General features: G+C 53.5%; 1 protein-coding gene across 6 annotated transcripts in view, besides 2 other annotated features; it reads right to left on the bottom strand.

The window, feature by feature from the left end:
• Positions 1 to 5,713, bottom strand: part of EPHB2 (EPH receptor B2) — a 210,663-nt gene extending 204,950 nt beyond the window's left edge. For 3 of the 6 annotated variants that reach the window (NM_004442.7, XM_006710442.5, XM_047449104.1), the window contains 1 exon segment: positions 5,508 to 5,713. In NM_004442.7, the coding sequence (NP_004433.2) occupies positions 5,508 to 5,568 (61 nt within the window). In that variant the 5' untranslated portion in view covers positions 5,569 to 5,713. 6 annotated transcript variants of the gene reach the window in all.
• Positions 4,419 to 4,518: an enhancer, noted in NCBI's record as "active region_353". NCBI's record gives its function as "activates an Ori minimal core promoter by ATAC-STARR-seq in GM12878 lymphoblastoid cells {active_cell/tissue: GM12878}" and the evidence as "EXISTENCE:reporter gene assay evidence [ECO:0000049][PMID:35858748]".
• Positions 6,740 to 7,025: a silencer, noted in NCBI's record as "fragment chr1:23036019-23036304 (GRCh37/hg19 assembly coordinates)". NCBI's record gives its function as "represses an EF-1alpha promoter that drives an FKBP-Casp9 reporter gene in an ReSE screen in phorbol 12-myristate 13-acetate-treated (for megakaryocytic differentiation) K562 erythroleukemia cells {active_cell/tissue: K562(+PMA)}" and the evidence as "EXISTENCE:reporter gene assay evidence [ECO:0000049][PMID:32094911]".

The raw sequence follows: 15,028 nt of genomic DNA, 5'->3' as shown, positions 1-15,028 counted from the left end.
CCTGGTCAACATGGTGAACCCCCGCCCCGTCTCCACTAAAAATGCAAAAAAATTAGCCGGGTGTAGTGGCACATGCCTGTAGTCCCAGCTACTCCGGAGGCTGAGGTGGGAAGATGGCTTGAACCCGGGAGGCGGAGGTTACAGTGAACCGAGATGGCACCACTGTGCTCCAGCCTGGGTGACAAAGTGAGACTCCATCTCGAAAAAAAAAAAGAACCTGTCCCCACTTTGGCGCTGATGAAGAGCCTTGAGGAAGTAGGGCCTAGGACAATCCCACAGGAGGGAGGGGGCCCATCCAATGTTCTATGACAATTTCAGGGTGAACAAAGATCCCCAGGACTTAGGAGGCTTAGGGACCCCAGATGACAGTCCCTCTGGACTAGGAATCTGAGTATTTTCCCCTGATGGGGCTCTGGAGAAAGAGGCAGGGATGGAGTCTGAGTCTGTCCACACTTGGGGGGTTACCATCCCGAGTCTGGGGGAAGTTGGGAGCTTGTGGGGTGGGTTAGGGGAGACACTGAAGGCTGATCTGGTGCCTGGACAAATTAAATGCCAAAAAGGGGGCCACGTCGCCATCATTGAGGGAAGGACCTTAGAGGGGTTGAGACCAGCATTTAATGTCCACAGCATTTAATGAGTGTCTGACACAGGAACCCAGGGGGAAACTGAAGTGCAGGGAGTCTGCGCTCCTCGCCCCAGAGCACACAGCTGGGATTTGAACTCACGTCTGTTTGCGCCTGAAGGCTATGCATTTTCTCTACCACACACTGCCTGTGAAGTCAGCTGGCCCCGTTCCCCACCACAGGCAGAATCCCTTCTCCCAACCAGCCCCTGACATGAACTAGGTGCCTGGTGACTCTTTAAAAATATATGGATGGATGGAGAAATGAATGAGTGAATAAGTCAACTGGCTTTCTGATTCTACAACATTTAGGTTTTAAATCTAAGCCCTGATTTCCTGGCTAAGACAAATACATGAAAGCAGCCTCCTTTAAAAATGAGAAGCAAAAGAAACAGACATAAAAGGAAAACCAATTCCAAATTAATCCCATGGAAGGTCGCTGGGTCTTAGACAGGTAATGCCCCAGAGGTGGGCCCAGTAGGGTAGAGGTTGGGGTGGGAGAGTTGAGCTGGGGGAGGGAGGGAGGCAGGCTTCCCCCACCCCCCATCAGAAGTGGACTTGTCTACCTAGCACACAGTGGCTGCTGGCCCATCTGAATGCTCTGCTCCCTCTGAACTGGTCTATTCGTTATCCCCAGCACTTTCTTGCATCTCTACTCAAGCCATCCCCTTGGTATCTCCCTCCAGGAAGACCTCCTTGATTTCCTCTGCCAGATGGACTTCCCTCCATCTCCATATCATTCTCCCAATACTTATCACATAACACAGTATCATATATTCATCTGTTCATTCACTCAACATTCAATTCATTCCATGTTCCTCAGCTGACAATGTCATTCCGTTACTGAGCACCCGCATGGCTGGGCACAGTTCTAGGCACTGGAGATGTCACAGCAAACATGGCAGATGAAGTCCTGGAGTTTACAGTCTAGTGGGCAAGGCAGATGCCAAACAAGTCTTTGATGCTTCTTCAGGTGGCGATGGGTTTCATGAAGCACAACAAAGCAGGTGGGATGGAAAGAAGCAGAACTGGGTCTGTTTTAGAAGAGAGAATCAGGGAAGGCCTCTGGGGAGGTGGAATTTGAACAGAGCTCTTCAGACCAGAACTGTGGACACAAAGATGAGCCAGATGGGTCTCTGTCTTCAGGGAGCTCACAGTCTAGCCGGGAACCGACAAGCTGGCTTTACTGTGACTGTCCAGGACCAGATCTGGCTCATCTGAACGTCACCACACATTGCAAGTCAGTGATCTTTCCAAGCATGAATCTGGCCAGGTCCCTTGATAGCTCAAGAACCTTCAAGGGCTCCCTGCTGCCCTCAGCATTTGATCCAAACTCCCCAGCCTTCCATTCTAGCCCTTCAGGACCTGACCACCCCACTCCCATTCTCAGTCTCAACCCCCACTGCTGCCCTCAACACCCACCCTCCTCAGACACATCAAAGTAAGCACCTGATCATCCTGCCTCCATGTCTTTCTATGGACATATAGACATGCTATTTCCTTTTTTAGGTAAAATTCTCCACATCCTATAAGTTCTAAAGTCAACCTCTTTAACTCTTGAGAACACAGTTCGTTAGCATGACAGGTGGCTAAGAAAGTTTCATAGCAGGGAAAATGGGTGGTGAGAAAATGAGGCAATGCATAACAGCATAAAAGATGAAATAACCCTGTTCTGTCCTCAAGTGCACCTGCCGCCCCGGGGGGTTCACAGCCTCCTCTGGGAAGTACGTTGGACCCCGTATCATGCTCTGTCTCGCCCACTCTTTTCCCTGTCAGCTTGTCCCGTCTCCTTGCCTGCCCCGGAGTCCAGCACCCTGTCAGCCAGAGAGGAAACTCTATCGATATTTGGAGAGCAAAGGAGCAGATGTAAGGAGGCTGTTTTCTTGAGACCTTGACCTTTGGATTCCATCGGCCAGGGATGGACAGGGTCTGCCACCGGCCTCCTGTCCTGTTGGACGTTTCCCCAGTGCTCTTCCATCCTGCTCGCCGCCACTTCACATGCTCCATGCTTTCTTTCACTTGGTCGGGGGGCGGTCTCACAGTTTGGGGGAGATGCTAAGCTTACCGTCCTAACCTAGAAACCCCCCGTATACACACACACTCTCCTCTCCCCCATTCCGAAGGCTGGAGCTGGGGATTTCCTGGGGACTTAACCGGCAGGACAGCCCTTTACGGGCTGAGGAGACAAGGAAGGAGGAAGGGAAGGAAGTGGTAGCCATGTGGCTCTGGGTTCTGGGAGCCAGAGGGGCCACCCTCCTACTGCTCCACGGCCCAGTCCTGTCTCCACAGACTGTGTCACCCTCAGGAGGACCCTGGTGTCTCCCAAATGTGCACAGGCAGCACCGCCCCCCAAATGTGCACAGGCAGCACCGTCCATCCCTGGCTTTGAAGGGGGACTTCTCCCACCCATCATCTGGTCTGATCCTCACAAACACCCCAGGAGACAGGCAGGACAGGCGCTGTCATCACTCTCACTAGACGGGGGAGGAAAACGAGGCTCAAAGAGGGGAAGTAGGGCGTAGACGATGGACTCTACAAGATATTTAGCCAGGCCATTTTACACCCAGAGAAACTGAGGCCCCCACAGGGAAGGGACCTGGCCCAGGGTCCCATAGTAAATGAGAAGCAGGCCCTCTGACCTCCACCTCACACCATCTCCCCATCCATTCGGCCAGCTCCTTATTAACCACTGATGGACTAACTTCCTAGTGTCCAGGGGGCAAACGGAACAAGAGCCTGAGGCAAGCATTGGGGTGCCTGCTGCAGCCCTCCTCCCACCCTGCTGTGGCTTCCCTTCCCCACCCTGCCCCCAAGTGGCAGTCCAAGTAGCCATACCCTCCTGTGACGTCAGCGCCCACCAGCCCTGTGTCCAGGGCCAGGGTCCAGGCTGGCCACAGCCCACCAGATTCCAACCAGCCTCTGCCAGGGCGATGGCTGGACAGATGTGGCCCTTCCATCTACCCCAGAGTAATTAAAAACACACCCAGGCCTCTTCCAACGAGAGAGGGGCCAATTTTCTTCCCCTCCAGCACCGCTGACTGCAACCTAAATAGCAATATTTATGCCAAGCTCCCCATAATACTGTAAACATCCCAATGTATAGCGGGCCAACGCATGAGTCATTTCCCCAAAGCCAGAGTTAATAAGTGGTACCTCAGCCATATTCCACAGAGCTCCCGCCAGCAGCCAGGCCCCAGGGCTGCCCTCCACACCCAGGGCCCGTGGCACCCTAGGTGCCCCAGTGGCCCCACTCCGGGAAACCGCAGTCAGCCGCCAAATCCCCCAGGAGCCGAAGGACAGCTGCCTCAGTGCCAGAAACTGTGGCTGCCATCCAGGGACACCCCCCACCCCCTGACTGCGGTCACTAAAGTGCTCATTACCGAAAGAGAAACTGAAGTTGTAGCACAGGGTCCCCCACGACGCCTTTCCCAGAGGCCGCAGCCCCCACGTCTGGTCTGATATGCGTTTTTTCTTAGGCTGCAAGAAGGGAAGGGGCGCCCCACAACCCTAAAGTGGCCTGAGAGGTGCACACAGACATCATCCCTAAGCCCAAGGGAGCAGAACCCTGGAAGGGCTCACGCAGTTTAGGGGCAACAAAACCCAGCTAAGTGAGTGCTGGTTTCAAAGAAAGACCACAGACCTGGGTTCTATTTTTGTCACCCAACGGCCCTGGGTGAGACATCGGACTTTTCAGAACCTCGGTTTCCCTATCTGTTCAAGAGAAGTAGGAATCATACCTACCTGTCTTCCCCGGAAGGTGTATTTTGAGGGATCCAACACGCTGGTGGGCGGGAAAGCACTTTGTAAAGCTTAAAGTACCTTGTCAACTGTGCAGCACGTTGTAAACCACAGAGAGCTGCGTATAGTGCGAAGTACTTCATAAACTGTAAAGTGGTTTGAAAACTGTAAAGTGCAGTACACGTGAGAACCATTATTCACGTTCGCTTCTTGCCCTGCAAGCTCGGCCATTCCTGGTGGACACACCCAGACCGCACTAACTTTCCCTCCAGAGCAAGCTGGCTCGGGAGACCTAGCAACTACCCTTGCCCCCCTGGGGGTCGAGTGGTACCAATACACGAGGCCACGGGGAGAGGGCCCGCGACCCTGGCCAAGGCCAACACATGGCAAGAGCATCTGGTCCGGCCCCGGCGGCAGCTGGAGAGTTCCCGGGGCTCCAGCCGCCACGCTGAGCGCCGCGGCCGCGGGGCGGTGGCCGGCGGGGGTGCCCGGAGACCTTGCGCGGCGGAGAGATGCCCACAGACCCATCCCCCGCGCAGTCCTCTCGGGGAGGGGACCCCATTGTACGCCGCGGGCGATGGGCAGGCACCGACGCGGGGGCTGGCGCGCTCCCTTCCACTCTGCCAGTCCCTGCTCTCCGGGGCGCCGGGCCCCATCTCGGGGGCGCGGGCCGGGAGCCCCCACCCCGGCCGGCCGCGGTGCCTCCCTCCCTCTGCTCCCTGCCAAACTTTCCAGCCCCGACCGAGCGCCGGCGCCCCCCCCGCCCCCCGCCACGGCCGGGCCCGCGCCCCTCCACCCTGTGCGGAGCAAGACCAGGCCGGCGCGAGGCGGCTGCCCGAGCCGGGGGCGGCGAGCGCGCGTGGGCAGCCCCCAGCCCTGGGCGGCGCTCGCCGGGCTGGCTACAAAGCCTCGGCAAGATGGTCCCTTCGCCTCCTCCTGGCACAGTCAATCAGCGCCCGCCGCTCCCCGGGCGCCCGCGGGGCCCGCTCCTCCCGGCGCGGCCGGACACACCTCCCCGCGGCCACCTGCGCCCGGCGCCGGCCCCCGGGCAAACTTTGCGGGCCGCGGAGCGGAGGTGGGCGCCGGCGGCCGCCCGTGCCCGGCCGCTCCCCGCCCCCATCGCCCGCCCGCCCGCCCGCTCGCTCACCTTCCACGGCGGCGAGCAGCGGCAGCAGCAGCAGCGCGGCCCCCAGCCTCCGCAGAGCCATGGCTGCGCTTCCCGGGGCCTCGGGCCGCGGCGCCGCGGGGCCCGGACGGCCCGGGCGGGAGCGCGCGCCCCGGGCTCGGGGGGCCAGGGGGGGCGGCAAGGCGCGGCGCACACACAGCCGCCGCCACCGCGCAGCCAGCAGAATGAGCCATCCAGCCCGGGCAGAACGGGGACCCGGGCTCCGCCAGCGCTGGGCACGGCCCACCTGAGCCGCGGGCGCGGGGGGAGCCTCGCCAGGCCACCGCCCCCCGCGCGCGTCCCGGCCCCCGGCGGCCGCGCGCCGCCGCGAGCCCGGGTCCCCACACCGCGCCCGTAGGGTCACCCGGGGGCAGCGCGGGCGCTGGAGCGCGGCGACCCCGCGTGCCCGGGCCACTGAGACCCCGGGCTCCCCCCGCGCAGCAGTGGTCTCTCCCGGCGCTGTGGCTCCTCCAGATAAAGCAGCGATTTCAGCCCAAATGTTTCTCAATTTTTATTGAATGCTGCAAAGCCGGAGAGCGTCTGGCGCGGCTGACAGGGGCAGGGAGAGCGGACGGAGGGGAGGGCGGGGGAAGGGGCTTCCCAAAGCGGGGGCCGGCACTACCTGTCAGGGCAGGGAGTCCCACCCCCTCGCCTCAGCCCTGCCACCCGGGTCCCTGCGGCTTCGAAAGGGACCGAACTGCAATGAATGGAAAAAAAAAAAAAAGGGTGTGTGTGGGGGGGTGGCATCTGGGAACAAAACAGGCGGCTTTCCCAGGCACCGGGGCTGGGCCGGGGCCTCCGAGTGGGAGACTGGGCCTTGGCGCTACCCGAGGGCCTGGGGTGGGGCTGGGGGGAGGGTGGTCACTCGGCACTGGTGGGCTGGGCCCTTGCAGGCAGACCCCAGGCCTCCCCTCCCTGCCCCGTTGTTCTGAGCTGGCCCGCGAGCCCCTCACTGCAGACTCGTCTATGTCTGTATTAGATTTCTCCTTCTCTGTTGATCTTGCTCCCAGTGCAGTTTGGGGATGGGGTGAAGGAAGTCCATGGGTGAATCTGGGGAAAGCCCCAGCCACCCCCACGCTGTGGAATGGACCTGTCTGTGCAGCCGTGGTTTTGTGCATGGCCGTCCCTTCAGGGAGAACACAACCCTAGCCCCAACCCTGTGGGCCCTGCCCTGCTCTGACAGCCTTCATCACCATCATCATTAACAGACTTTACTGAAGTCTGGATGGTGGGCGGCTGCAGGGGGCCTGCGGCAATCACCCAGGCTGAACCCCTGGCAGTTGGGAGCCCACTCCTGACTGAGGAGACTTCATCAGGAGCTCGGAACTCTGTGGAGTGAGTGGAGGAGCCCAGTGCAGGAGCAGGTGGTTTAAGTCGAAGGCAGTTTAAGTCTATGCTACCCACATCTCCTGTGTCCCTTTGTCCCACATACTATCAAAATGTCCCAGCAATCCCTCCCCTTCAGTCCATACCAAGAAAATGGGGTACCACAGGCTTTGGGAATCCATCTAAGGTTTGGAAAGTTGGGTCGTCTCTTGAAGCTCCAAGAGTCCAGTTGAAATGGGTGTCATCCTGGAAGGCCACCAGGAGGAGGCAGCCTGGGAGGGAGACAGAACAGGAGTGAGCAGGGAGAGAAGAGAAACAGGAGATTTCCCCCTATTAAGCCTACAGACCCCTCACCAGGGTCAAGAGCCAGTGGGGTGGGGCTGGCAGAGCCACTACCGTTCCTATTTGAGTGAGCAGGGAGAGAGGAGAAACGAAGATTCCCCCTTTTAAGTCTACAGACCCCTCACCAGGGTCAAGATCCACTGGGGTGGGGCTAGCCTTTATTTTCAGTTCTTGCCTGTCAGACCTTCCAGGAGACCCAGGGTTTGAGGGACCCCAAGCTTGGCCCATCTTGAGGCAATCCTCCCTCTCCTGGACAGAGCAGCTCTAAGCTCTGGCCCCCTCCAGTGCATCCAGGTGCTAGACACTTCCAAATTCAAGAAGTCATTATTGAGCACCTATTATGTACTGTGCAGATTCAGCTTTTTTGCTTTGTTTCTATTTCCTGGGACCCTTGACTCCACCTACCCAGGGCCAGTGGTTACTTCCTTTTTGTCTCAAAATAGGAAGACCAGTGACTCTGCTTTATTGAGGACATGGTACCAGGCACTAGGCTGGGCTTTGTTTATTTCTTGTCCCCCTTAATCTTTCCTACTCTGTGCACCAGGTGCTGATCTTTTCACATGATGAAACTGAGGACCAGATAAGTAATTTGTCCAAAGTCACATGGCAAATTGGGCTAGGATTCAACCCCATGTCCGTCCGACCCCAGTGCTGACCTCCTTGTACCTTTCACAGAAGCACAGAGCTCAGGGCTCTTCCCACAGGCTATTTCACAGATAAGGAAACTGAGGCCTAAAAAGGAAAGTGACTCACCCAACGTTATCTGATGAAATAGACATCTATCCAGGGCCTTTACCTGGCAAAAATAGAAAATTACTGATCATAATTAAGTTCCCCTTCTCTCACATCCTCTTCTCTCTAAACAGTATTTTATTCCCCATTTGGGGTGGCTGGGTTCTGCAGTCTGGCCAGGCTCTCCTCCCTGATTTCTTGGCAACCGCCTTTAGCTGTGCTTTTGTCCCAGCTGTGCACTCCACCTGGTTGCCTTCTTGGCTCTAAAGACTTGGATTCAGCCTCACCCCAGCCCCCACCAAGAGCTTAATTGACATTCGCCTCACCCCTCTCTGACTGACCTATTTGCCTATTATCTGTTCCCTGAAAGATAATCAGCCCCACATGGTCCATTGCTGGTTTCTCTGATGGATTGTTTCTGATTTGCACGTTATCTCTACAACTCCAGCCGACTGTGAGCTCCATGAGGGCAGTGCCTGGATGCAAAACTATACTGTACACTGCCAGGGCAGGAGGCCCCAGGGAGCATCTGACCCAATCCCCTCCTCAGCAGAGGAGGAGGCGGTTTAAGCTTCATTTGTCTAATGACAACAGCTACTCGAATTTGCAATCACGCTTTAACAGTTTACAAAGCAGCGTTCACACCCATCAACTCGACTCATGCTAATTCAACCAGCCTATCCTGCGAGCCAGCCCGGCAGCCAGGGAACGCCATTTTTCAGACGGGGAAATTGGGGCCCAAAGAGGGGCCACTTGCCCAAAGACATGTGGAAGGTTTGGGGTTTTTTGTTTGTTTTTGGTGCAGCTGGAGTGAGGCTTCAGTGACCTGTCTTGTCTAGGTCTCTTTCAATCAGAGTTGATTGACAAACATTAGTTGGGCACCTCCTGCATACCAGGCACTGAGGAGGCAGGGACGCAGCTGTGGACCTGCCAGACAAGGCCCTGCTCTCTGGGAGCCTATATTCTGCTGCAGAGAGACCTATATAGGGACAAGCTAATAACGATAATGGTAAGTGCGAGAAAGATAATGACCAGGGTGATGGGGCAGTGATTGACGGAGGGCAGGGGGCTGCTCTGGCCAGGGGAATCAGGGAAGGCCTCTTAGGCAACATGGCAGCTAAAAGCTGGACAGCGAGGAGTCTACCATGCCAACATGTGGGAAGAGAGCTCCAGGTGGAAGAAACTGCAGAGGCAAAGGCCCTGAGGTGGGAACACACTGGGTACCCTCTGGGAATAGGAGCTGAAGTACGGCAATCAACTGGAGCGTGGAGGAGGTTACATCAGGGAGGGAGAATATGGATTGTAGTTTAACCTCAATGGGGGAGTCATGGAGGATTATAAGTTGAGACTGGATAGATTGGAGGTAGAGGAAATAGCATGAACTTGGCTGAGCAGGGCCTGGGGGACCCCATGTGTTAACCCATGCCACCATCCTCCCGGTCTGTGGGGCTGGGCTGGCCTCTAGAGCCCCTAGATGGAGACACCAGGGGCTCTCTTAACTTGCTTCCCTTAACTTGACTCCCTTAACTCCCTAGCCCTCCCTTAACTTACTGTGTGACCTTGGGCAGGGTACTCACCGTCTCTGGGCCCCACTTGCCACAAATGCCAAATGAGGGCATTGGCCAAGGTGGTTTCTCTGAGGCCACTTTCAGCCCTCTCTTTGTCGTGGATTCAGTGGGGGCAACAGGACCTTGGTGAGGATCTCAGCCATACCAGAGGATGCCAATGAGCTCTAGGCTCCCTTTGCTTTCCCTGAGGCTCCTTCTTCCTGAGGGGAAAGGTAGTGGGGCTCTTGAAGGGGGGAAACATGTTACACTGAGTGGCAGAGCCCAGAGAAAACATAGAATAGACATCCCCTCTCGGTGTACCCAAGTCTCTGACTCCCATCCCAGTGGCTTTGCTGACTGATGCAGGATTGATGGGGTCACATGGCCATTTGTGGGTCAAACCATCCCTACAGCCAGTGCCAGGCCAGGGGGAATTTCTTTTTTTTTACTATATATATTTTTTATTATGCTTTAAGTTCTAGGATACATGTGCACAACGTGCAGGTTTGTTACATATGTATACATGTGCCATGCTGGTGTGCTGCACCCATTAACTCGTCATTTACATTAGGTATTTCTCCTAATGCTATCCCTCCCCACTGCCCCCACCCCACAACAGGCCCTGACGTGTGATGTTCCCCACCTGTGTCCAAGTGTTCTCATTGTTCCATTCCCACCTATGAGTGAGAACATGCGGTGTTTGGTTTTCTGCCCTTGTGATAGTTTGCTCAGAATGATGGTTTCCAGCTTCATCCATGGCCCTATAAAGGACATGAACTCATCCTTTTTTAAGGCTGCATAGTATTCCATGGTGTTTATGTGCCACATTTTCTTAATCCAGTCTATCATTGATGGACATTTGGGTTGGTTCCAAGTCTTTGCTATTGTGAATAGGGCCTCAATAAACATATGTGTGCATGTGTCTTTATAGCAGCACGATTTATAATCCTTTGGGTATATACCCAGTAATGGGATCGCTGGGTCAAATGGTATTTCTAGTTCTAGATCCTTGAGGAATCGCCACACTGTCTTCCACAATGGTTGAACTAGTTTTCAGTCCCACCAACGGTGTAAAAGTGTTCCTATTTCTCCACATCCTCTCCAGCATCTGTTGTTTCCTGACTTTTTAATGATCACCATTCTAACTGGTATAGATGGTATCTCATTGTGGTTTTGATTTGCATTTCTCTGATGGCCAGTGATGATGAGCATTTTTTCCTGTGTCTATTGGCTGCATAAATGTACAGAGACATGGCTCAAATTCTAGTTCTGTCACCAGTTGGCTGTGTGACCTCAGACAGGGCTCTTCCCCTTTCTGGGCCTGAGTTGAGAGCCCCAGATCTACCCTCATGAAGCTCATGAACCAGCACTGTCCAATAGAAATATGATCTAAGCCCCACATATAATTAAACCATTTCTAGTAGGCATATTTAAAAAAAAGAAAAAGAAATAGATGGAGTTAATTTTAATATATTTATTAACCCAATATATCCAAAATATTATCATTTCAGCATGTAATGAATGAACCATTTTACATTCTTTTTTCACACGAAGCCTTTGCAATGTAGCATGCATTTTATATTTCAGCATAGCTCAACTTGCACTAGCTACATTTCAAGTATTCAATAGACACGTGTGGCTGGTGGCTAGTGGCTACCATTATTGGATAGCACAGATATAGACACTGACGGCAATAGTTATCCTAAGGAACTCAAAGTGCTGTTTAATAGAGGTTGTCCAAACCTTCTGCGGGCACAGAGGAGGGAGTCACTACTTCTGCTTAGAGAAGGGGAGAAAGCTTCCTGGAGGAGGTTACATTTAAAAGATAAAAAAATGCCTTGATAGCTAATCCTCTTTCTTCCCACTTTCAAGAAATCTTTTCTTTCTACCTTATGATAAAAGAAACACATACTTATTGTTAAAAATAAAGAAGATATAGAAGAGATAAGAAAGAAAACAAAAACCACCTCTAATCTCCACAGCCTGAGAGCCACTACTAATATTTTGATCTGTTTCCATCCAGGTACTTTTTTTTTAAGGCACAAGTATTTTGCATGTAACTATAATCTTGCTGTCTGTATGGTGCTGTGTCCTATTTTTTCCCACCCAGCACCATGGAGTGAGCATTCCCTTGGGTTGTTAAAAACCCTCTGGAAACATCATTGCTAACCACTGCATACTATTCCAGGGGGGTGATGGGCCGTGAAACCAGAAACTCTCCTGCTTTCCCACTTCTCCTGGAGGTACCTGCGAACCCAGCTCCACTTTGGATGCCCCTCTGAGCACAGAGGCTGCAGGGAGAATGGAGAGAAGCAACCAGGAGGGGAGAGTTCCCTGAAAGCCACCCTTTGCTTGACTCCTCACTGTCAGCCCTGGGTCTTTGTGACTCAGAGCTGGAGGAGGCTGGGCTGGGCTGCAGCTCCAATTAGCCAGTCTCTTGACTGCCACCTGGTGGTCCTGGAAGTGAATTCACCCTCTAGGAGAACCATCAGGGAGGTGGCCAGAGGCAAGAGGTGCAGGGGTCCTGGGTTTCCACTTTTGACCCCTGGCCCTGCACCCCACTTCATGACCAGCCTTCTGGGGAAGGGGTCATCTGAGTTTTCATTCTGGAGAAGGGCTTCCCTCCTGCTGTCATTCTAAAGGGTCGTAGCTTGGGGAGAGGACTGCCTGGGTGCAAATCCAGCACCACCTCTTATAAGCACGGAGTCCTCAGGCCAGTCTACTTTTCTGTCTCAGTCTCCTGATCTGTAACATGGACTAATAATAGTGCCTATCCCCTAGAGCTGTGAGGCTGAAATGAGATAATCCATGTGGACAAGCACGGGGCCTTGTCCACAGTACATGTTCAGTGTTTTAAATTATTTAATGTCAGAGGGAAATTAAGTGCAAAGTACAAGGATGAATCTTATTAAATCTCATCCTGTTTCTCTGGTTCTCTGCTCTTAACCCTTAAGCCCCTTTGTTGGAGCCACTTTCCTGCTCACAAGTCTTGAATGCCCCCCTACTCCCCCCTGCAATAAATATAAACTCCCTAGCCTGGCATTTGAGGCCCTTCAAGGACGGGACCCAGCCCACCTTCCCAGTCTTGTCTCACTGTTCACCTCCAGGTACCCTCTGCCCCAGCCAAACCATTGTCCTCAGGTCTCCAGGAACTCCTCCATTTTCTCACCTCCACTCTTTCCTCATGCTCAGCTTCACGCTAGACCACATTTCTCCCCATCCTGTCTTCCAGAATTCTGCTTATCCTCCAAAGACCTCATCACAGACCAGCTCCTCAGGAATCCTTCCATAGACCCATGCCCCTTCTGGAAACCTCCCCAGCCTGCTGATGACACACACCTCAATTTCCTTCATCCTATGTTCTTGCAAAGTAGCCTTGAGGAGCAGAAAGAGTGTGGCCTTTGGAGTTAGGGAAGGGATGTGTTAGAATCATGCATGATCTTGAGCAGGGAGAATACTCAACCTCGTTAAGCCTCAGTTTTTTTCTCTCTTTTTTTTTATTTTAGAGATAGGTCTCACTCTGTTGCATAAGCTGGAGTACAGAGGCGTGATCATAGCTCATTGCAGCCTCAAACTTCAGGGCTCAAGCGATCCTCCCACCTCAGCCTCCAAAAATGCTGGAATTACAGGCATGAGCCACTGCACCCAGCCCTCAAATTTCCTTATTTGTCAAGTGGACCAGATCCTTATAGGTTCGTGATGAGCATAGCATGCAACGACAAACAGAAAATACCTGGCATTAGAGAATACCTGTGAAATGTCAATTTCCTTTCCCTGCGAGTTCATGCCCCATCCATACGTGAAGCTGCCCTAGGGCAGACTACATTCTGTTCACCCCTGAATCCAAGTCCAGCAAAGGGCCTGACACATGGGCACTGACTAATTGCTTGCTAGAATGAATGGAAACTTCTCTCCCACCAGTACAAAGAACCTTCTTGGCATAGGAAATAAGTGGTAAAATGCTACCCAGTAGCTGTGAGCCATGTAGCTCCCAGTAGCTCCATTACCACGTGGAGCCAAAGACTCACTTCCTCCTGGGAGCTGGGAGGGCCTGGCTTGTCTAGCTTGTAGGTGAGGCTCCTGGTGGGTGGGTGGGTGTCTAGCTTCAGTGGGTAGCCTGTTTCCACAGTCTGTTCCCACCCATCATCTGCTTTAATCCTTGCAACAACCTTGTGAGCCTGGCAGCCCTTTCACTTTACAGTGGAGGAAACTGCAGGCAGGAGAGGAAGTGACTTAGCTAAGGTCGCTCAACAGACTCCTGAATGCTGGGCTGGGAGCCAGGTCTCCCAATTCCCCAGATTAAGGCCTTTCCGAAGCTTGTAGCTATGATATGGTTGCAAAGGCACTGGATTTAATGTCAGGAGAAACGAGTTGAAATCCCAACTCAGCCCTTTACTTTCTGTGTGGCTTTGGGTGGTTGTGTAACTTCTTGAACCTCAGTTTCCTTGTGGCCAGGGGCCCTGTTGGAAGATGAAAGAAGCCAGGAGATGGGAAACACCTCTGTCAACTGTGGAGTGCCGTATCCAGGTAAAAGGTTGTTATGTTGTTACGGTTGTATACTGAGACTGATATGGGATACTTTGATCTTTGCGCCCCACAGGAGCACACAGAATTTTATGGCTATTCCCCTGGCCGACCGTTTCCCAATCTGCGTCTCTCCTGGAGTTTGATAATGCTGTTTTGATGGGTTCCTGGTAACAGAGGTGCAGCAGGGTGGGGGAGCTGGGCGAGTGAGCTGGGTGTGGAGGCTCTGAAGGCCAGGACAGCTGTCCCCTATCCGGGTACAATCACAGAAAAGATCCAGACTAGGCTGGGCACTGGGGTTGGGGACACATACAGAAGGGTAAGGCACAGGTCCCATTTTTTAAGGACCCTGGACGTGAGAAGAAAAAAGTCATGGAACTGGGTGTGGGTGTAGCTAAGCTCTCTGGAAAGGTTTTAGCTGATTCACATTTAAAGAGGACCAGGCAAAGAAGACGTTCTGGAAGTGTTTGCCAAATGGACGCGTGGATGGATGGATGGATGGTTGGTTGGTTGGACAGACAGAGAGGAGAGGACATGATGATAAGCAGGCAGGCTTCTAGGAGGTAGTGACATGTGAGCCATGATGATTCTCTGGATTGCAAGAAATTGACTAAGGAGTTTTTGGAAGGACACATAAGGCAATCAAAACCCAGGAATCTCTACTTTGTGATCAGGACTTATTGGAACCCAGCAAAAGCCTTAGGGGGCCTGAATAGGACTTGTAGTTATTGAGAATCAAAGGCATCTGTAGCTACTGAGATAATGATAATAATAACAATTACTGGCTGGGCGTGGTGGCTCACACCTGTAATCCCAGCACTTTGGGAGGCCAAGGTGGGAGGATCACTTGAGGCCGGGAGTTCAAAATGAGCCTGGGCAACATAGCAAGATCCTGTCTCTACAAAAATAAAAATAAAAAAATTAGTGGGGCGTGGTAGTGCACACCTGTAGTTCTAGCTACTTGGGAGGGTGAGGTGAGAGAATCCCTTGAGCCCAGGAGGTTGAGGCTGCAGTGAGTTATGATTGCACCAC

Source organism: Homo sapiens, chromosome 1, assembly GCF_000001405.40.
Source record: "Homo sapiens chromosome 1, GRCh38.p14 Primary Assembly".
Lineage (NCBI taxonomy): Eukaryota > Metazoa > Chordata > Mammalia > Primates > Hominidae > Homo > Homo sapiens.
This window is presented reverse-complemented; position numbering and strand designations above follow the sequence as displayed.